Below are 21,864 nucleotides of genomic sequence, written 5' to 3'. Positions count from 1 at the left end.
CCACAAAGAAGGAAATGTATTAGGTCACAAAACTGGGAAGGCAGGGGTGGCTCTGGCTTCAAGGATTCCTGGATCCAGGAGGTCAAACAATATAGTCAAAGAGCCTTCTCTAGTTCTCTAGTTGTATTTTTCCTTTTGTCTTTTCGTTTTTTGCTTTTTGAGACAGAGTCTCGCACTATCGCCCAACCTGGAGTGCAGTGGCTCAATCTTGGCTCACTGCAATCTCTGCCTCCTGGGTTCAAGTGATTCTCGTGCCTCAGCCTCCCAAGTAGCTGGGATTATAGGCGTGCACCACCATGGCTGGCTAATTTTTCTATTTTTAGTAGAGATGGGGTTTCACCATGTTGGCCAGGCTGGTCTCGAACTCCTCAGGTGATCTGCCCGCCTCAGCCTCCCAAAGTGCTGGGATTACAGGTGTGAGCCACTGCACCCAGCCAGTTCTCTTTCTATCTCTCCTCTTCTTCCCCATCTCTCAGCTCAGATGTCTCTGTTTCTTGTGTGTAAGTTTCATTCTCTCCTGCCAAGGTTGGACTCACTGCAGGTGGTAGTAGTGGTGGTGATGATGATGATGGTGACTTAGCTGTTAACTATGTGCTAGGCACCACTCTGTGCACACCACTATGAGGCAGGTGCTATTAATACTCTCACTTTACAGATAAGGAAATGGAGGCACAGAAAAGTTAGATAACCTGCCCCAGGTGACGCAGCTGGAAAATGCTGGATCTGACAGTATCTAGTAGGAAAGATGGCCACTGGCAGCCCCAAGCCAACACTCTTACAGCTGGAATTGCCACAGAGAGAGAGAGAGACAGAGAGAGAGACAGACCCTGTTTCTCCTGGGGCCATTTGCCAAAATGATGGCCCTGCTTCCCTCTGGGAACCAAGCTCTGAGGCCAAGAGGTCATGGGGTTCTATGATTGGTCAGTCCTGGTCACAACCATGGGGGCAGCACTGTGACTGACGGTGTCATCAGAACTAAGGGGACAGAGAGGAGGGCTGGTTCCTCTGGTTGAAGGAGGTTGGCCAGGCAGGGTGGCTCACACCTGTAACTCCAGCACTTTGGGAGGCCGAGGCACACAGATCACCTGAGGTCAGGAGTTCAAGATCAGCCTGGCCAACACGGTGAAATCCCGTCTCTACCAAAAATACAAAAAATTAGCTGGTGTAGAGGTGCACACCTGTAATCTCAGCTACTCTGGAGGCTGAGGCAGGAGAATGGCTTGAACCCGGGAGGCAGAGGCTGCAGTGGGCTGAGGTTGCGCCACTGCACTCCATGCACTCCATGCACTCCAGCCTGGGCGACAGAGTAAGACTCTGCCTCAAAAAAAAAAAAAAAAAAAAAAAAAAAAAAAAGAAACAAGTAGTCAGAAAAAGGAGGATAGCTTCAAGGACTAAAGCTAGCAAGCTAGCACAGGGCCAGGAATCTGCATTTCAAAGCCCTCCTTCCACATGTGGAAAAATAAGCAGGAGGGACTGCTTCCAGCCTCCTGGGCCAGAGGGGGCCCTCAGCCTCCTGCGAGACTTTTCCTTGCTTGCTTTTCTTCCCTGGATGGACTGCCTGTTGGCTCCCAAAAGCCCCAGGGTATGGGGGCCACAAGTCCTGCTCCCAAGTGGGCGGCCAGGACAAGGAACTGAAAACAAAGACATGTTGTCCTGGGAAGGTGGCCTGCGGGCCTGTTAGGATGGTGGGGTTGTGGGGACCACAGCTGGCAGAGTCCTGCAGACCCAGCACCGACCTGGAGGCTTGAAGGGCTGGGCTAATGAGCTGAGGCCCGTGCTGGGTCTCCTCCAGTGCTGGGGGTGGGATCGGGGCTGGACCACTGACTTCACAGCAGCGCCCGGCCAGGAGGGGTGGGAGAAACAAGTGTGACGGGGCAGGACTGGGGATAGAAGCAAGGCTAGAGAAGAGCACAGGAAGGAAGGAGGGAAGTGGATAGAAACAGGAGGGGGAAATGGGGCTGGGGGCAGAAGAAAGGAAGAGAGAAATGGCAGAGTTAGAGGCCAGAAGAGAAAGAACACCCAGGAGGCAGAGTCCAGGTGAGAAGGCAACAGGGGAAGAGTAACCCCCGTATTAAGCGCTTACCAGGGGCCAGGAACGGCACACCAATTGCTCCTCTTGTAGGTAGTTATGACGCGTTCCCATTTCTTAGATGAGAAAGCTCAAACACAGAGGCAGGGGAGGGAAGAACAGAGTGGGAGACCCAGCAAGTGAGAGGATTACAAGAGGAAAGAGAGAAGGACTAGGGCTGGCTTCTAGTTTAGTGATGAGTTTCTCGGTTGAACACTTAGTACCTGCAGGCTGTCCCCAGACTCTGACAATCCCAGGAGATGGACACTGAAATTATTTGCCCCTGTTAACTGGTGAGGAGAGAGAGGCTCAAAGAGGCAGGGTATGTTGTTCGAAGTTGCTAGACAGTGGTGGAGCCGGGATTTAAATCCAGCCTGATTTTCCAGAGTGGCTTTGTGCCACTCTGAGAAACAGAGAAAGGGAGACCCTAGGAGACCTTAGGAGATAAAGTAAGATGTGGGAGAAAGAGAAAGAAAAGATACAAGCTATGGGGGTAGAGAGGGAAGGATAACTGAAGGATGATAAAATTCAGAATAATGGGTACCCCTGGTGGGGGAAGTGAGGACACAGGAACTTTCCAGATGCCGGAAATGTTCCATATCCACCACAGCCAATCCAGTAACCACTGGTCACATGTCGCTATGGAGCACTTGAAATGTGGCTATTCTGAATTGAGATGTACTGAAAGTCTAAAATACACAGGGATAGCTGGGCATGGTGGCTCACACCTATAAACCCAGAACTACGGGAGGCCGAGGCAGGAGGACCCCTTGAGACCAGGAATTCGAGACCAGACTGGGAAACATAATGAAATCCTGTCTCTACAAAAACTAGCCAGGCATGATGGCGCACGCCTGTAGACCCAGCTACTCGGGAGGCTGAGGCAGGAGGATGACCTGAGCCCAGGGAAGTCGAGGCTGCAGTAAGCATGATCGTACTTCTACACTCCAGCCTGGGAGACACAGTAAGACTGTCTTTAAAAACAAACAAACAAACAAACAATATCCCTTAAAAGCAAAAGAAACAAGGAATTTCAAAGTCTTAGAAAAACAACAAAAGGTAAAATATCTCATTAAAAATTTTATGTTGATTACATGTTGAAATAATATTTTGGACACATTAGGCTAAATAAAATATAGTATTAAAATTAAAGTCACCTGTTCCTTTCTAGTTGTTTAACGTGACTACTAGAACATTTAAAATCGTCTGTGTGACTACTCTTATATTTCTGTCGGACAGCTTTGTTGATACTTTGATCTGAGTGATTACATATGTTTGTAAAAATCCACTGAGCTTTATAATTAGGGCACTCCACAGTATGTAAGTTATGCCTCAATACAAAAGAAAAAGGAAAAAAGGCAAGAGAAGGGCGAGCCAGGATGGAAAGAAGCGCAGCAGGTAGGAGGCGGGGCCAGCGGGGCGGGGCTGGTGGCCGCGCGTTGCCTGGCAACGGGTGCTGCCGGTGACGTCACCACCCGGCGGCAGCCATTAATCCCCCTCCTGGCGGCGCGGGCTGGCCCGGCCGCCTGCCTCCTCCTCCCCCGGGCCCGGATGAGATCACCGCGTCGGGCGGCCGGCTGTCCCCGCGCTCCCAACAAATCGACTCCTCGGCGAGCGCCGGCATCTCATGATCTCATGGCCCCGCGGGACGGCGCCGGCCGATGAGGTCACAGCCCCGCGCCCCGGGCCGCCCCGCTCTGCGCGCCGCCGGCTCCGGGTCTGGCCTCCGGGCGTCCCGCGCCGGTACCAGGCCCCCGAGCCTGAGGCTCTTAGCCCTTCGCGGACAAAGGAGATCTCAGTTTGCGAAGGGCAAAGCTGCCTTTTCCATCCTTTTGACGCATCTTTGCGCGTCCACTCCCCGCTCTCTTATTTGGACATTTCACCCCGAAGACCCCTTGTCCAGCAGGGAGTGACCTCATCAGCTCCCCTAAACTTGAAGTCAGGGGCCATGCGACGCGGCTTGCCTGCAGGATTTCACAGCCACTGAGTGAAGGAAGTTGTGGAGCTGTGTCTTACAGACGAAGAAACGGGATCAGAGGGATAAAGGAATCTGCCCCAGATTACCCACGTAGGGAAGGGTGGCGCAGGAACCCGGACCTCCATGATGTGAATGAGCCCTTTGACAGCCTTTTTCTTCTCCTTACCTGTACCCCAAACCTCTGCACCTTTACCCCAGTTCCTCCTTGCTCTGGTGTAAACAGTGGTAACGGTCCCACTTGCGGCGTGCCCCCGCAATGCTGGGTCCTGTTCCACATGACAGACCACTGTAGAGGAATTATACGGACCATTTTACAGATGAGAACACAAGGCTCGGAGAGGTCAAGTTACTTGCTGCAGAACTGGGACTTGTACCCAGGTGACTTGACTCTACAGCAGAGCCTTTCAATTACTCGACACCACCTTCCCCAGAAAAAGAGGAAGGCTTCCGAATGTTGACAGTGGACGATACACCCTCCCTTCTCTCTCCGACAGGGTCGCCATCAAACCCAGTTGAAGAGGGTCCAGTGAGAGCCTATTAGAGGCTTCACAACTCACTTGCCAGCAGCAGATTTCTCCCATCGCTTAGAGACTGCTCACTCACACCACTCCTCAGAAGACCTCCAGCAACATACACAGCCAGGAACGACAGGAAGGAAGGGACATGACATTTACTGAACGGCAGTGCTGAACCAGGCACTGAGCCAGGGCCTGTTACTAAGGGCAAAGCTGGGAGGGATATTACCAGCCCAGGTTTGCAGACGAAAAAGCGGATTTTTTTTTTTTTTTTGAGATAGGGCCTCACTGTCACCCAGGCTGGAGTGCAGTGGTGCGATCTCAGCTCACTGCAGCCTTGAGTTCCTGGGCTCAAGCGAGCCTCCCCTCTCAGCCCCACGAGTAGCTGGGACCACAGGTGTGTGCCACCATGCCCCAGATAATTTTTTAAAGACTTTTTTTGTAGAGAGGGGGTCTCCCCTGTGTTGCCCAGGCTGGTAAATATTTTTTAAAACCAAAGTCAGATGTCAAGGAAGTACAAGTTTCAGCTCAAATGTCCATCCCACAGAGAAAGCCCTTTCCCGTTTCCCTAAACGAATTCTCCATGAATTGTTTTTATTTGTCTCTAGTGCTTGTTGAAACTTGAAGTTCTATATTTGCGTGTTGATATAGTTTAATGGTGATTTCCCCCAATGAAATGAGAGCAGGGACTCTGTTTTGGTCTGTTTCTTTCATTTATCATCTTATCCCCAACACCTTCGCAGTGCCTGTCATAATATGACACTGAAATATTTTTGGAGTAAATGCAAAGAATTGGTGGCTTAGGATGGTGAGCAGTGCTGCTCAAAACTCAGGTTTGTTTGAGTGTAAAGTGTGGTCTTACTCCATACTTTCTAGGAAGTTCAAAAGCCCCTTGCTACATATACTTTACTTACAGTGAAGTCCCTGTGGTGCTTTTCAGAGCCTATTAATTCTTAAGTGTACTACAGTAGTGACAAGTTTGGCATTCTGGTTTCCCAATCAGTAGTGTCCTCTGTTGGTAGCTGAGAGGAGAGGAAAATCAGAGGAACTGAGTAGGAAATTAGGCGTGGAAGGGACAAGGTTATACAGCTTATGCTCTCACCTTTAATAACAGCAAGGAAGAAGACGTAAAAACTACAAAAATCAGGCTGGTGCAGTGGCTCATGCCTGTAATCCCAGCACTTTGGGAGGTTGAGGCATGAGGATTGCTAGAGGCCAGGAGTTTGAGACTAGCCTGGGAGACATCATGAGACCTCCTGTCTCTATTTAAAAAATAAAAACAGGCCAGGTGCAGTGGCTCACACCTGTAATCCCAGTACTTTGGGAGGCTGAGGCGGGCAAATCACTTGAGGTCAGGAGTTCGAGACCAGCCAGGCCAACATCGTGAAACCCCATCTGTACTAAAAATACAAAAATTAGTCGGCCATGGTAGTGCGTGCCTGTAGACGCAACTGTTTGGGAAGCTGATGCATGAGAATCGCTTGAACCCAGAAGGTGGAGGTTGCGGTGAGCTGCGATCGCACCACTGTATTCTAGCCTGGGCGACAGAGCGAGACTCCATCTCAAAAAACAAAACAAAACAAAAACAAGGAAACTACAAAGACCAGACACAAGGAAAACACACAAATGGTAATCACAAAACTTTTCTTATGGGCAAAGGGAGGGAAGAAGATGGATGGAACCCAGGAGATATACACAAGGGGTTTCTAAGAAACTAGCAGTTCTCTACTTTTTAAGCTGGGTACACGAGTATTTGTTATTTTTTGTTTTTATACCTCATACATGTTATTTTTTTAAGGCCACAAGCTGAAATTTTGCTTACCCACTTTAAAAATAGACTATAACAACCCCATGAGGGGGGAAATTGTCACCTCCACTTTGCAGATGAGAGAAACTGAGGCTCAGTTTCAGAGAAGTTCACCATTTTGCCTAAGCTTATAGAGCTCAGATGTAGCAGAGGTGGGATTTGAATCCAGGTCTCTGATGTCTGTACAGATGCTCTTACCCACAACATCTGCCACTAGATAACTGGACACTCACTATTAAAACCAGAGCTGATGAAAATGTGTCATTTTCTCCCTCTCACCCCCAATTTCCTATAAAGATCCTCTCTCTGCTCTTCTGGCGAGGAGGGGGAGGAGGAGGCCGCGATCGCCTCTGGTGCTATGGTCCCAGGGGCCAGCTGGCAGAGTCCTTGGGGCCAGGCTGAGGCCCCAAAAGAGTTGCTGGGCTGTGAGTAAAAATCTTCCTGTCAACAGCAGCAGTGGGGTACCCAATTTCATTGGCCATGGTTCCCTTGATCTAAGAGCATCGGCCCCATGAACAGGAAGGGCCCAGCGCACGTGCCCCAGCAACTGCATCAGCAGCTTCCCTACACACAGGGCCCTGCTCCCCAGTACCCAGGAGAGGCCTAATTATAAGATGTTGATGATTAAGCCCATAGTGGCCTGGGACCCTGTTAGCTACGAAAAGGCGTTCTCTTCCCTCTGTCCTGGTCCCAGGTGGATGGATGAGCTTATCTGTCCCCAAGTCAGCTATAGTCTTAAGCACAAATGCTCTGGGCTAAACTGCCCAAGCCTGGCTGTTTCCCAAAACACTAGGGAGTGGAGGGAGAGGTGCAAGGGAAGGAGGGAGACAGGCAGAGATGGGCAGAGGGCATCTCCTTTCCTGGTGGTCTGGAGCCCATGACTTCAAACTTGACAAACAGGGTCCTCAAGTGTGGATCTGTCCTGCTGGGAGGGTGACTTTGCCGAAGTCATATCAATCACTTCTCTGGGCCTCAGTTTCCTCGTTAGCAAAGTAGGGGATATGGAAGGCTGAATAATGCCCCCGCCCCAAAGATGTCCATATCCCAATCCCCAGAACCTATGAATTTGGTACCTTACAGGGCGAAAGGAATTTTGTGCACGTGCAGATGTGATGAAATTAAGGCTCCTGAGATGGGGAGATTATCCCAGGTGACCTGGACGGGCCCAATATCATCACAAGGATCCTTATTAGAGGAAGGCAAGAGGGTCAGGTTGAAGGAAGACAATGAGACAACAGACACAGAGGTTGGAGAGATGCACTTTGAAGATAGAGAAGGGGACCAGAGGCAAGGAGGGCAGGGAGCTTCTAGAAGCTAGAAAAGACAAGAAAATGGATTGTCCCCCGGAGCCTCCCAAAGGAACCACAGTGCAGACACCTTGGCTTTAGCCCAGTGACACAGATTTTGGACATCTGACCTCCAGAACTGTAAGATAATACAGTTGTGTTGTTTTAAGCCACAAGGTTTGTGGTTATTTGTTACAGTACTCACAGGAAGCTAACACAGAGAAGAAATAGTTAGACTGTCATGAGGGTAGTGTCAGGATGGCATGGCTGGAGCATCTCTGGTGGGCTGGCTTCCATGGCAAGATGGGAGGAGGCCAGAGCACACCCAGGCCTGGGAGTGGCCTCTGAGCTGTGGTTACAACCACCTCTTTGACTACATCTACTACTACTAGGACCGGCTACATCATTTATGATACCCAGTGTAAAATTAAAATGCAGGGCCCCTTGTTGACATACTAAGAATCTCGGCTGGGCGCCGTGGCTCATGTCTGTAATCCCAGCACTTTGGGAGGCCGACGCAGGCGGGTCACCTGAGGTCAGGAGTTTGTGACCGGCCTGGCTAACATAGTGAAACCCCATTTCTACTAAAAATACAAAAATTTAGCTGGGCATGCTTGCACGCAGGTGAAACACCATCTGTACTAAAAATAGAAAACTTAGCTGGGCATGGTGGTGCATGCCTGTAATCCCAGCTACTCGGGAGGCTGAAGCATGAGAATCACTTGAACCCAGGAGGCAGAGGTTGCAGCCAGCCGAGATTGCACCACTGCACACTCCAGCAGTCTGGGCAACAGAGTGAGACTCTGTCGGAAAAAAAAAAAAATATCATACGGCAACAGTGGAGCATTAAACCAAGTGTTTGGGCCTTCTGCAAAGGGTGCTTGCCCATGAAGTTGCCCTGCCCCTTCTTCTGCTCCAGCCACACAGGCTCATTGCTCCTTAACCTTGCCAAGCACGTTTCCACCTCAGGGCCTTTACATATGCTGTTTCCCCAGCCTGGAATCCTCTTCCCCACATATCCACATGGCACACTCCCTTGCTTCCTTCAAGGCTTTGCATGAATGTTACCTTCTCCCTACCCCCCACCACTGTCTAAAAGAGCATCGCCCTCCCTTCCCCGCCCTGCAAACAATGACACTCCCTGTTTGATCTCCATCTGACATATTGCCTACTGATTTCAGCATCTTTTTATCTAAGTCCCTTGAAAGTGCATGCTCTGCTTCTTCACTGCTGTATTTCTGGGACCTAGTCCTGGGCCTGGTACAGAATAGGTGGCCAAAAAATACTGGTTCAGTGGATGAAGAAATGGATGAATGGAAAGTGCCTAGGACAGTGGCTGGCAGGTAGTACGTGCATGGTGACTGGCTTCTACAATGTTGCCATGACAATGACTATCATCATCTACTCCTGGAGAATGACACGGGGAGGGCTGGGGTCATGTTTTCCAAGGCCCCGTTTCCTCTGCTTACCTTGTTTTTTCACTAATTGATAAATCGAGCCTAGCACTTACTAAGCTGTAGTGATCAAAAGGCTTCATTCATATTAAAGGTATGGTCCTGTTTAATCTTCACATCATGAATACTATCCCCATTATATACGGAAGAACACTGAGGCTTAGAGAAGGCTACTGACTCATCCAAGGTCCATGACTTATAAGTGAAAGAGCTGGGAATGGAACCTGCTTGACTCCAAGTCTGGTAGACCCTTCCAACTGAATTCACACTGCCTGCTTCAGAGAAAATATAGTGAAGGGAGAAATATCTGCAACATTCTCATGAATTAATTACCTTCAGCGTATGTGTTTTGAGTACCTGCTATGTACCATGCACTGTGCTGGGAATAAAATGAAATATACAAGAGACTTGATCTCTGTTCTTGCCAAGTTTTAAGTCCTAATGGGGGAGACAAACCAGCAAACACAACATCACATGATGCATTCACAACAGAAGTGGCCTCGGGGCTATGGAAGCACACAGGTGAGTCACCCAACCACAAGTTTAGACTTCCAAGTGGAAATGATATCTAAACACCTGAGGGTGATGGGGTGATGAGGGGTCAGCCAGATGGGGCTGGGGAGACAGTGTTCCTAGCACAGGGAACAGCCACTGCAAAGGCCTGGAGGAGGTGAGAGAACAAGAGCATGATTCAGCCCTAAGAGGCATTCAAAACACTTGGCAAGCGATGGCTGAGGTGTCGGGCTGGGAAGAGAGGCGAAGGCCAGGCAAGCATTCAAAAGGACTCCCTTGGCCAGGAGGCTCACACCTGTAATCCCAGCACTTTGGGAGGAGGCCAAGGTGGGTGGATCGCTTGAGACCAAGAGTTCAAGGCCAACCTGGATAACATGGCAAAACCCTGTCTCTACAAAAAATACAAAAAAAATTAGCCAGGCATGGTGGCACATGCCTGTAGTCCCAGTTATCGGGGAGGCTGAGGCAGGAAGATGGCTTGAGCCTGGGAGGTCATGGCTGCAATGAATCGTGATCGTGCCACTGCACTCCAGCCTGGGTGACAGAGTGAGACCCTGTTTCAAAAGAAAAAAACAAAAACAAATGACAAAACAAAACAGAAAACCAAAGGACTCCCTTGCCTCTGAATGGCGTGGGATTATGGACAAGGTACTGAAACTCTTGGAACGATGGTTTCCTCCTCCTAAGATAGGAACAGCCCTAGCCAGGCGCAGTGGCTCACACCTGTAATCCCAGCACTTTGGGAGGCCAAGGCAGGTGGATCACTTGAGGCCATGATTTAGAGACCAGCCTGGCCAACATGGTAAAACCCCATCTCTACTAAAAATACAAAAATTAGTCAGGTGTGGTGGCGCATGCTGTAATCGCAGCTACTCAGGAGGCTGAGGCAGGAGAACCGTTTAAACCCAGGAGGTGGAGGTTGCAGTGAGCTGAGATCGCGCCACTGAACTCCAGCCTGGGTGACAGAGTGAGACCCTGTCTCAAGGAAAAAAAAAAAAAAGATAGGAACAGGCCTAGACACAGAAGGCTGGCTGCAGAGATCTCCCCGCCACCTCCTGGCCTCACCTAGTGTAGTGACAAGTCTGCTTTCAGTAATGCCACGCCCCAGGGACCTGCGGTAATCTGGTCAGGCCCATGAGGGAACAGAGCTGTCCCTCCTCTCCTCCCTCTGCCATCCCCGTCCTCTGCCTGCATCTCTGCGTTGTCACTCAACGTGTATTTATGTCGGGCTGCTATGGTCATCACTCAGTGTGTATTTATGTCGGGCTGCTATGTGCCAGGCACCCTGGATAAGGCTGCAGCAGGGAATAAGTCTGTGTTCCAGGTGCCATCTCCCTCTGTCTTGTTCTTGTTCTTTTGTGTGTCTCTGCCCCACCTCTCCATCAGCCCCTTGAAGTCAGGGTCAGGTCTTATCCCAACAGCTGAGATTGAGCAGGCACTGAAAACTCTGTTCTAAACCTCATGACCTCATTTGTTCCTCACCGGGCTCCTCCTGGAGCCAGGTAACATCATCAGTCATGTACACAGAAGAGGCATCAGAGTTTGACCCGGTGAACTCACTCACCCGAGGGTATATAGCTAGTGGCAAAGGCAGGATTCAAACCAGGCAGCCCCAGGACCCAGTCCAGGGCTGGTGCCTATTGGTAACTAGTAAGGATAATATTTCCTCCCTTCTTTTCCTTCCTTCCATTCAGGGTTCTGATCTTAGCACTTCTGGGCCCCGAGGAGAAGAGCCAGAGGCCAGCAAAGCCTCGGTGGGCTGCCAAGCCCCCTGCAACAGGGCCTGGATTTCCACGAGGGTCATGAGGGTGGATGCACACACACACAGACACACACATGCACAAACGCACGCGCACGCATGCCGGGTGCGTTGGCTCACGCCTGTAATCCCAGCACTTTGGGAGGCCAAGGCGGGCAGATTATTTGAGGTCAGGAGTTTAAGATCAGCCTGGCCAACATGGCGAAAACTCGTCTCTACTAAAAATACAAAAATTAGCCAGGTGTGGTGGTGGGCGCCTGTAATCCCAGCTGCTCAGGAGACTGAGGCACAAGGATTGCTTGAACCTGGGAAACAGAGGTTGCAGTGAGCCGAGATGGCCCCACTGCACTCCAGCCTGGGCGACAGAGTGAGACTCTGTCTCAAAAAAAGGAAAAAAAAAAATACACCCATTGAGCATTTACATGTGCCAGGGATTGCTAAAATCACCTCCACCTGCATTGCTTCCATTTATTTTTTAAATCACCTCCAGTCTCCACCCTACCTCCAGAGGTAAACAGGAATATTTCTTTTTTTTTTGAAATGGGGGTCTTTCTATGTTGCCCACCTGGACTTGAACTCTTGGGCTCAAGCCATCCTCCCACCTCAGCCTTCCTAGTAGCTGGAAAGACAAACTTCCGAGTAGCGTGAGCCATCATGCCTGGTGGATAACTTCCTTTTTTACAGATGAGGAAACTGAGGCATGGAGAAGGGAGGTGACTGACTGGAAGTGATACTGATGGAAATGGTGGAACCAAAATTCCAGCTCAGATCCACCTGACTCCAGAGCCCAAGCTCTTTCCAATCCACTCTGGAACCTTTCTGGACAAGCTAAAAGTTGAGACGTGTTATCAGTGGGCTCCCTGAGGCCAAATCTCAGTTCTGCTACCTTTTCTTCTCTCCAGGGAAGGAGAAACATCTGGGGGAAATATGGAAGCAGGGTAGTCCCCCCTACCCCAATGGAAGCAAAAAGCAGGAAACCAACACAGCAGTCCCTGTCTTCCCCCTCAGGAGCAGGGAGCCAAAGTAGACACCTCCAAGGCCCCCTCAGGGAGCCTGGCTGCCTTGCTTAATCATTGAGTTGAAGAAGAGAAAAATGATCAGCCCTTAGCTTGATGATTAATTCCCCCAGCACCCCACAGCAGGGGTTGCCACCACATACCCATGATGTAGTTTGGAAAGGTGGGTCAGGGTGGGTCTCGGAGCCAAGAACGTGAGTCTCCCTGCTTTGCCCTGTGAGCAAATTCATACCAACCACTGCTGTTTGCTCATCACTTTATTTGAGAGTCACTCACTCACCTACCCTGAGCCACTGGGCAGATTCTTATTCTGCCCCCATGGAGCTTAGAGTCTGGTGGGAATGGGATGTTCAGGAGTTATCTGGAAAAACGCACACCCCGAACTGTTTTCCACTTCCACACCATGGCTGCGGCTGTCCCCTCTTCCTGCCGTGCCCTTGTGGCTTTGCGATGCCTGGGTAACTCCCAGCCCTGCTTTAAAACTCAGCTCTGATGTCACCTTCTTCAGGAAGTCTCTGCTGGGGACTGGTTTAGGTGTCCATTCTCTGTTTTCCCAGAGGGCCTTGGAGTGACTGCTTCCTTGCCTGCAACACCCCCACTGGACTGTGAGCTTTCAGCGTGAAACTCCTGGTCTGCAGAACCCCATGCCTAGCATAGGTCTCGGCACTCTGGGGTGTCCAATATATCTGCAGAATGAATGCATGAGAAAACAAATCATGTGACCCAGAACTGGTCACTTTGGGGACTTGGTTTCCTCAAATCAGCAGAATAAGAAGGTCTTTCTGGCCTAGGCACGGTGGCTCACGTCTGCAAGCCCAGCACTTTGGGAGGCCGAGGTGGGTGGATCATCTGAGGTTGGGAGTTTGTGACCAGCCTGGCCAACATGGTGAAACCCTGTCTTTACTAAAAAATACAAAAAATTAGCTGAGCGTGGTGGTGGGTGCCTGTAGTCCCAGCTACTCAGGAGGCTGAGGCAGGAGAATAGCTTGAACCCGGGAGGTGGAGGTTGCAGTGAGCTGAGATTGTGCCATTGTGCTCCAACCTGAGCAACAAGAGCAAGACTTCATCTCAAAAAAAAAGAAAAGGTCTTTCTGGGTCTACCGGTCTGTGAAAAAGAGGGCAGGGGTGAAGCCCAGTCTTTGAGGAACCAGAGAGACCTCCGGGATGTCTGAATCGGGAACTGACCATCTTGGCATGGCTCCCAGTGAAGCCATGAGCAGGCCAAAGCCTCTCCCAAAGGGGCTGGTTGCATATCAAAGTGCTCTTTACCTGCGAGAACTGGAGCTGACTCTGGCCCATTCCAGCAAAAAAGAGGGGGCTTTGGAAAGATTGTGGATCTTCTCGGACTTCAAAGAAGCGCTGGACCCCCCAGGCCACATGAAGGAGTTGCCGAAACCTCACAACGAAGTGGAAGGACCTCTCCTCTCATCAGCACTTCTCAACTCCTGTCAGCACCTGAACCACCAGGAATCGAGTTCAAACGCAACCTCTGATGGAGGAGGACTGGGATGCAGCCACGACTCTGCTCCCAGGTGATGAATGAATGAATGAATGAATGAATGAATGAATGAACAAACTCAGCTCTAACTGTGCCCAGCCTCTGTGTTCTTCAGTTCCTGGGGGAGGGCACTGGATGGCTCCAGCAAGGACTAGGTGCCTGCTCAGGATTACCAGCGATAGGCAGGGGAGAGGGGCACCAAAAAAGCCATGGCTCCGGCCCTGTGCATCCAGTTATAACCACAGAAGGGTGGGCCTTGGGATGGGGCGGCCATCCTAAAAGGGGCTGATGGCAGCTGGGGCGGAGCCAGGCCAGCTCGCCAGACAGTGACCATCTGAGCTGGTGACAAGTATCATCTTTCAACCTGGAGGTCGATTTCCAACGGCCCAGTGCTGGGGGTGAGAGTGGGGGAGCCAGGGGGAGCACAGGACGGGGAGCAAGAATTTCAATAGCAGCTATGTTCCTAATTTCCCCAGGAGGAGGCCTGACCGCCCCTCCTCCCTGCCGTTTGCCATTAAAAACAAACAGTATCATTTGGTTCAATAGAAAATGAATTAAAGGAAATTAAACTGCGGGGGCCATGTGGCAAGCCTTGTCTTCCATTGTCTGAGGTTGTTTTTCATCTTCTCTAGTGGCGGAACAACAGCTTGGGGGGTGTGGAGCCAGGCGGGACTACATAAATAAATAAATCACCCAAAACCTCCCCACCATCTTCATCCAGTAGAGGGTGGGGTGTGGGAAATCCCAGGTGCCTGCTGGGGCCCTGTCCCTGCTGCGTCCCTTGGTGGCAGAATGTAGCCTTTGGGAGTCTCCCAGGGGGCAGAGTGAAGGGAAAAACAAAACAAAACACAAGGACAGCAACAAAACATGAAGGCTGGATGCAGCGGCTCGCACCTGTAATTCCAGCACATTGGGAGGCCAAGGCAGGAGGATTTCTTGAGGCCAGGAGTTCAACACCAGCCTGGGCAATGCAGCAAGACCCCGTTGCTATAAAAAACTTAAAAATTAGGCCAGGTGTGGTGGCTTACGAGCACTTTAGGAGGCCAAGGCAGGTGGATCACCTGAGGTCAGGAGTTTGAGACCAGCCTGGCCAACATGGTGAAACCCCCATCTCTACAACAAATACAAAAATTAGCTGGGCATGGTGGCGGGCGCCTGTAATCCCAGTTATTTGGGAGGCTGAGGCAGGAGAACGACTTGAACCTGGGAGGCGGAGGTTGTAGTGAGATCGTGCCATTGCCCTCCAGCCTGGGCAACAAGAGCGAAACTGTCTTAAAAAGAAAAAATTAAAAAATTAGCTGAGTGTGGTGCACACCTGTAGTCCCAGCTACTCAGGGGGCTGAGGTGGGAGGATCGTTTGAGCCCAGGAGTTTGAGGCTGTAGTGAGCCACAATCGCATCAAAGCACACCGGTTTGGGTGACACAGCAAGACCCTATCTCAAAACAAAAACACAGACTCAAGAAAAAGTGAGGTGCAGGCCCCACAGACAGAAAAGGAGGGTACCAGGGTAGTTGAGGGAAGAGGATGTAAGGAGGCTGGGGACAAGGGTGTATGGTGCCTGGGTTGGTGGGAGCAGTTTCGATGGTTCTGCAGGTGCACAGGGAGCAGTGGCTGCTGCTGTTTGAGTTGCAGTCTCTGGGTCAGGGGAGTGCGAGTGGGGAATGGTGCGGGGAGAGGCAGAATCATGCAGTGATTAAGAGTCTTAGAGTCTAAGCCCTGTCATTTACATACCCCAGGCAAGTCACTTACCTTCTCTGTGCCTCAGTTTCCTCATCTGCAAATTGGGGGCATTAAGAGTGTCTACCTCATAGGATTGTTGTGAGAATGAAATGAGTTCATGTTAATGAAGCATTTAGACCAGTACTAGGGACACTGGATATTTATTATTACTCCGTCGTATTATCATCTAATATTTCTTACTTTATTACTATCACGGGTCCCTAATGGCATCTCCCTTGGCATCTGGAAGACCTGGCCTCTGAAGTCACAGCCTGGCCACAGACTTGCTGTGTGACCCTGGATAAGTGAACACACCTTGCTGAGCTTCCAGTCTCTCATTTATAGACAAGGGATAATCACCCCGGTACAGAGATTGCTAGTGCCTCCCGATATTCCTTCTCCCCTTCCTCTTTCAAAATAAGCGTCTCAATCTTTGCTTAGGGCCATTGGCACCCAGCCACAAGATGACACTCCCCAGCCTGCCATGCGGTAAGTGTGACTGAGTGGTGGCCAATGAGATCTAAGTGAAAGTGACGGGAGCCATTTCCGGGAAGCCATGTAAAAAGGGAGAGGAACACTTAAGAACTTTTACAAATGAGGAGCAAAAATCCCAGCAGAACAGTGGCACACGGAATCCAGAAGTACATTCAAAGAATAAGAGGTTATGATCAAGAGGGGTTCACTGAATGTAAGGATTAATAGAAAATCTAATAATGCAGCTCTTCATAGCAACAGATGAAAGGAGAAAAATCAAATGCTTTTTGATCAAATTCAACAGCTTTTTTTTTTTTTTTTTGAGAGAGGGTCTCTTGTATCACTCAGGGTGGAGAGTATAGTGGCATGACCATGGCTCACTGCAGCCTCGAACTCTCAGGCTCAAGGGATCCTCAGTCTCCCGAGTAGCTGGGACTACAGGTGTGCACCGCCGTGCTCAGCTAATTTTTTAATTAATTTTTTTTATAGAGAAGGTGTCTCACTATGTTGCCCAGGCTTGGTCTCGAACTCCTGGCCTCAGCCTCTTAAACTGCTAGGATTATAGATGTGAAACACTGTGCCTGGCCATAACAACCATCTTTAATTTTAAACATTTTACTAGATTAAACTAGATGAATCTATCTATCTATCTATCTATCTATCTATCTATATATATATATATATATTTTTTTTTTTTTTTGAGACAGTCTCACTCTGTTACCCAGGCTGGAATGCAGTGGTGCCATCTGGGCTCACTGCAACCTCCACCTCCCAGGTTCAAGCTATTCTCATGCCTCAGCCTTCCAAGTAGCTAGGATTACAGGCATGCACCACCATGCCTGGCTAATTTTTGTATTTTTGGTAGAGATGGGGTTTCCAGGCTGGTCTCGAACTCCTGGCCTCGAGTGATCTGCCCACCTCGGCCTCCCAAAGTGCTGAAATTACAGGCATGAGCCTCAGCACCCAGCCAAGATGAATACTTTGTTAACATGATAAAACATCAGCGCCAGCTTCAAAGCTGCCCTCTTGTTTAAAGGGGGACTATATGTTTAGTTTAATGTCTCGATTCAGCTAGCTAGGCTGTAGTATTTAGTTATGCAATCAAACACTGATCTGGGTTTTGCTGTGATGGCATTTTGTAAATGTTGTTAACATCTACAATCAGTTGACATAAGCAATGAAGATTTTCCTTGATATCCTGGGTGAACCTCATCCAATCAGCTGAAGGGCTGTAAGAACAAGACTGAGGTTTCCCCGAGGAAGAATAAATTCTGCCTCAGGACTTCAGCATCAGGGCTGGGCACCGTGGCTCACGCCTGTAATCCCAGCACTTTGGGAAGCCGAGACAGGCAGATCAGTTGAGGCCAGGAGTTCGAGACCAGCCTGGCCAACATGGCAAAACCCTGTCTCTAATAAAATTATAAAAATTAGCCAGTGTGGCGGCTCACACCTGTGGTCCCAGCTACTCAGGAGGCTGAGGCACGAGACTTGCTGGAACCCGGGAGGCGAAGGTTATACTGAGCTGAGATTGCGCCACTGCACTCCAGCCTGGGCGACAGAGAGAGACGCTGTGTCAAAAAACAACAACAACAACAACAAAAAATGCAGCATCAGCTCCTTCCAAGAGCTTTCAGCCTGCTGGCCTGTTCTGCAGATTTCAGACTTTCCAGCCCCTGCAGTCCTACAAGGCAATTCCTTAAAATAAATCTATGTACATATATTCTACTGGTTCTGTTTCTCTGGCGAACCTTGTCTGTTACAGGCATCCTAGAGGCACTCCCATCAAGATTAGGAAAAAGAGAGAACTGCCCGCTATTACCTCTGTTAGGCAAAGAAAAATCAAACATCAAGAAGTAAACCCACCAAGCAGTGGGCGATAGAGGAAGTGATGGAGCCAGGTTCTGTGTCCATGTTTAAATCTAAAACTTCTAAAAAAAAAAAAAAAAGACAATGTCTTAACCCTTTCTTGATAATGTGTCTCTAGTACACCTTGAAGATAAGGGATTTCAAAGTAATGCGAAAAGCTTAAAGGAAAACAAGAAAAAACAACTTGTATCCAGCATTGGAAGAAGTGTAAATTGCTATAGCTTCTTTTTCTTTTTTGACAGGGTTTCACTTCATCACCCAGGATGGAGTGCAGTGGTGTAATCGTGGATCACTGCAGCCTCTACTTCCCAGGCTCAAGCAATCCTCCCACTTCGGCTTCCTGAATAGCTGGAACTACAGGCATGTACCACCATGCCTGGCTAATTTTTGTATGTTTTGTAGAGACAAGGTTTTGTCGTGTTGCCTAGGCTGGTCTTGAACTCCTAGGGGTCATCTGCCCACTGTGGCCTCCCAAAATGCTGGGATTACAGGCGTGAGCCACCGCACCCAGCCTGCCTCGAGAAAGAACCGTCTTGGGATTCTGGATAAAGCTAAAGCTACTCAATCCTAAAATTCAACAATTTCATTTCTAGATGGCTGTGTTAGAGAAACTTTTGTGCATATGTAGTGAGATGATCATTACTGTAATATACATAATGGTAAAAAAATAAAGAAACAATCTAATTGCTCATGAGTTAGGGGAATGGATGAATAAACCAAAGAATATTACATATTGCTGAAAAATGAATAAACTGAGAACTAGAGCTACACATATTAATAAAGATCTGTGGTTATCAAACTTCAGTGTGCATTCAAATTATCTGGAGGATTTAGAAAGGCACAGACTGCTGGCCCCACCTCACAGTTTCTGAATCAGTAGGTCTGGGGTGGGGTCTGAGGCTTTACATTTCTAACAAGTTGCCAGGTGCTCATGCTACTGGTCCAGGGACTGCACTTTGAGAAGCAAGAATACACACAAACCTCAAAAACACAACACTGTGTAACAGCACAAGTTGCAAAAGGATGTATGTAGAATATAAGCTATGTTAATTTGATATGCACCAAAACCAACACCATATTTTGTTTATGGACATAAATGTGTAGTAAAAGTAAGGAACCAGTGGTAACGTCTAGGGAAGGAGAAGGAATACACATTTCAAAGGATGTGGCAGAGATACTGCCATGGTTCCCCAAGTCCCACTTAATCTTCCCCCAGGCTCTCAGTAAGACAAAAGTTTCCCAGATTATCCGCTGTTAGGTGAGGCCTTCTGACTGGGTCCTAGCCAAGGAAAGAATGTGGGTGGAAGTGTTCTGCACCACTGCCTTGGGCCAAAAACCTTTCATGTAATTCTCCAGTTTCCCTTCCCTCATTGGCCCCCTGATGTTGAGGTTCCAGTGGAGACTGAGGTCTCATCCCCCTGCTACTCAAGGCTCTCCAGATGACTTTTATATACACCTCAAGTTGAGAAATTGTCCTATGAGAACATCCTGGGGGATGGTGATTTCATTCCATGGAAGAAGCCACGATCCCTAAATGACTGCCTGGAGCAGAGCACCTTGGCCAACCTCCACTGGACTCTGATGAGCTGAAAAGAATGTTGGGTGACAACTTTGAGACTTTGGTGTTGTTGACAGCAGCACCTGGGATACCCTGATTAATACAGACAGGAAACAATACAGTGGATGTAAGTGGGGTCAGCGGAGTGGCTTTTATTTCTCTAAAAGGAAAGAGGAAGATCTGAAGCAAGCATGGAAAAGGTTCAATCTCAATGGTAGGTGTGGAGATCCCCATTATATATTATTTTCTGTATAGTTGAAATATTTTATAATTTTAAAATATTCAAAAATAACCTAAAAATGAAAAATCTCAGATGTATACAGGCAACTAATGACAACTGGAACAAGAGGAGGGAGAGTATAAAACATCACCCCCGTGGCAGGTGGTGTCGGTTGCACCCAGAGGACTTTATAACCTCCACTGCTGGCATAACAAGACCAGGTGTTTCCTCTGCTGTTGTGAATGTCGCTCATGAGATGGACCAACTTCCTTCTCTGACAAATACAAGTGGCATAAACACCTGTGTATTTGTTTTTGATTTTTTTTTTTAAGACAGGGTCTTGCTCTGTTGCCCAGGCTGGGGTGCAGTGGCGTGATCTCGGCTCACTGCATCCTCTGCCTCCCAGGCTCAAGAGATTCTCCCACCTCAGCCTCCTGAGTAGCTGGGTCTATATGCATATGCTACCGTGCTAGGCTAATTTTTTTTTTTTTGGTAGAGACAGAGTTTCACCATGCCACCCAGGCTGGGTTCGAACTCCTGGATTCAAGTGATCCTCCTGGCTCGGCCTCCCAAAGTGCTAGGATTACAGGCATGAGCCACTGCGCCAGGCCCACCTGTTCATTAGTTTCTTGTAGCTCCTGTAGGAAATTGCCACATGCTGAGTGGCTTGAAACAAAAGAAACTTATTCTCTCCCAGATCTGGAGGCCAGAAGTCCAAAATTAGTTTCCTTGGGCCCAAATCAAAGTGTTGGCTGGGCCACATTCCCTCTGGAGACTCTAGAGAAGAAAGTCATTCTTTGCCTCTCCCAGTTCCTGGTGGCTGGTGGCATTGTTTGTCTTGTGGCTACATCATTCCCAATGTCTGCCCCCATCTTTACACTAACTTCAGTTTTAGCGGACTTTTTTTTAAAGGACCAGACAGTAAATATTTTAAGATTTGTGGGCCACAGAGTCTCTGTCATCATTCCTCAACTCTGCCACAGTACAGTGAAAGTCACAGACAATGCATACATAAATGGGCATGGCTGGTTTCCAACAGAACTTTATTTACAAAAACAAGCAGTGGGCCCACCTGTAGTTTGCCGACTCCTGAACTAGAGTCTGCAAGATGCTGTGCTCCTCAATAAAAGGGTCCCATGCTTAATAAGTTGGAAATGTGTCAGAGAAAACAAAGTGAAATGAATTTCTTTATTGCGGGACTTCTCAGAGCCTTTACTATGTGAGTGTGTGAGTAGGGGATAATATACAGAGCATTTCCCAAAGTTATTTAACCATAGAACACCTTTTTATAAAATGCCTATTAGGCTGGGTGCAGTGGCTCACACCTTTAAGTCACCACTTTGGGAGGCCAAGGCAGGTGGATCACTTGAGGTCAGGAGTTCAAAACCAGCCTGGCCAACATGGCGAAACTCCATCTCTGCTACAAATACAAAAATTAGCTGGGCATGGTGGCAGGTGCCTGTAATCCCAGCTGCTCAGGAGGCTGAGGCAGGAGAATCGCTTGAACCTGGGAGGCGGAGGTGGCAATGAGCCAAGATCGCACCACTGCACTCCAGCCTGGGCAACAGAGTGAGACTCTGTCTCAAAAAAACAAACAAACAAACAAACAAACAAACAAAAAAAACCCCACAGAAAACAAACAAACCAATAAAATGCCTATTAACATCTCCCTAAGGGCCCAGAAACATAGTTTGAAAAACGGTATTCTGTTCGATCCTGACTTTGGTTAGATTCTAACTTTCTTACTCACTTTAAATTATAAACAGATGGCTGCTAATGCTCTTATCTTCCTCAGAATGACAATAATTAACTAACCAGCCAGCACTTGACTTGTGTTATTTAATTTAATTCTCACAACAGTGTTATGAGTTAAGTCCTGCTATTCCCATTTTAAAGACAGAGAAACTGGGGCTCAATGAGGTTAATCAAGGTCTCAGAGGCAGAAGGAGCTAGAACTTCAATCTAGGTTTAATTTTAGGGTATAGTATGTGCTCTTTCGACGATTCCACAGGGCTGCAGAGAAAGACAATTACTTGCTTTTCTTGCTACATGCTCTAGAATCTTCCTGGCAACAGAAAGGGAGGTACATTTTGTAAAAGCATAAAGCCAACTAAATATCAGGTAATATTAAC

At 48.7% G+C, this 21,864-nt stretch overlaps 1 protein-coding gene across 6 annotated transcripts in view, besides 2 other annotated features; it reads right to left on the bottom strand.

Annotated features, from left to right (window-relative positions):
• Positions 1-21,864, bottom strand: part of RNFT2 (ring finger protein, transmembrane 2) — a 115,317-nt gene that overhangs the window by 30,476 nt on the left and 62,977 nt on the right. The gene's annotated exons all lie outside the window — the stretch shown is intronic.
• Positions 3,424-3,783: a silencer, noted in NCBI's record as "silent region_4906". NCBI's record gives its function as "represses an Ori minimal core promoter by ATAC-STARR-seq in GM12878 lymphoblastoid cells {active_cell/tissue: GM12878}" and the evidence as "EXISTENCE:reporter gene assay evidence [ECO:0000049][PMID:35858748]".
• Positions 3,984-4,033: an enhancer, noted in NCBI's record as "active region_7101". NCBI's record gives its function as "activates an Ori minimal core promoter by ATAC-STARR-seq in GM12878 lymphoblastoid cells {active_cell/tissue: GM12878}" and the evidence as "EXISTENCE:reporter gene assay evidence [ECO:0000049][PMID:35858748]".

Source organism: Homo sapiens, chromosome 12 (genome assembly GCF_000001405.40).
Source record: "Homo sapiens chromosome 12, GRCh38.p14 Primary Assembly".
NCBI classification, from domain to species: domain Eukaryota; kingdom Metazoa; phylum Chordata; class Mammalia; order Primates; family Hominidae; genus Homo; species Homo sapiens.
This window is presented reverse-complemented; position numbering and strand designations above follow the sequence as displayed.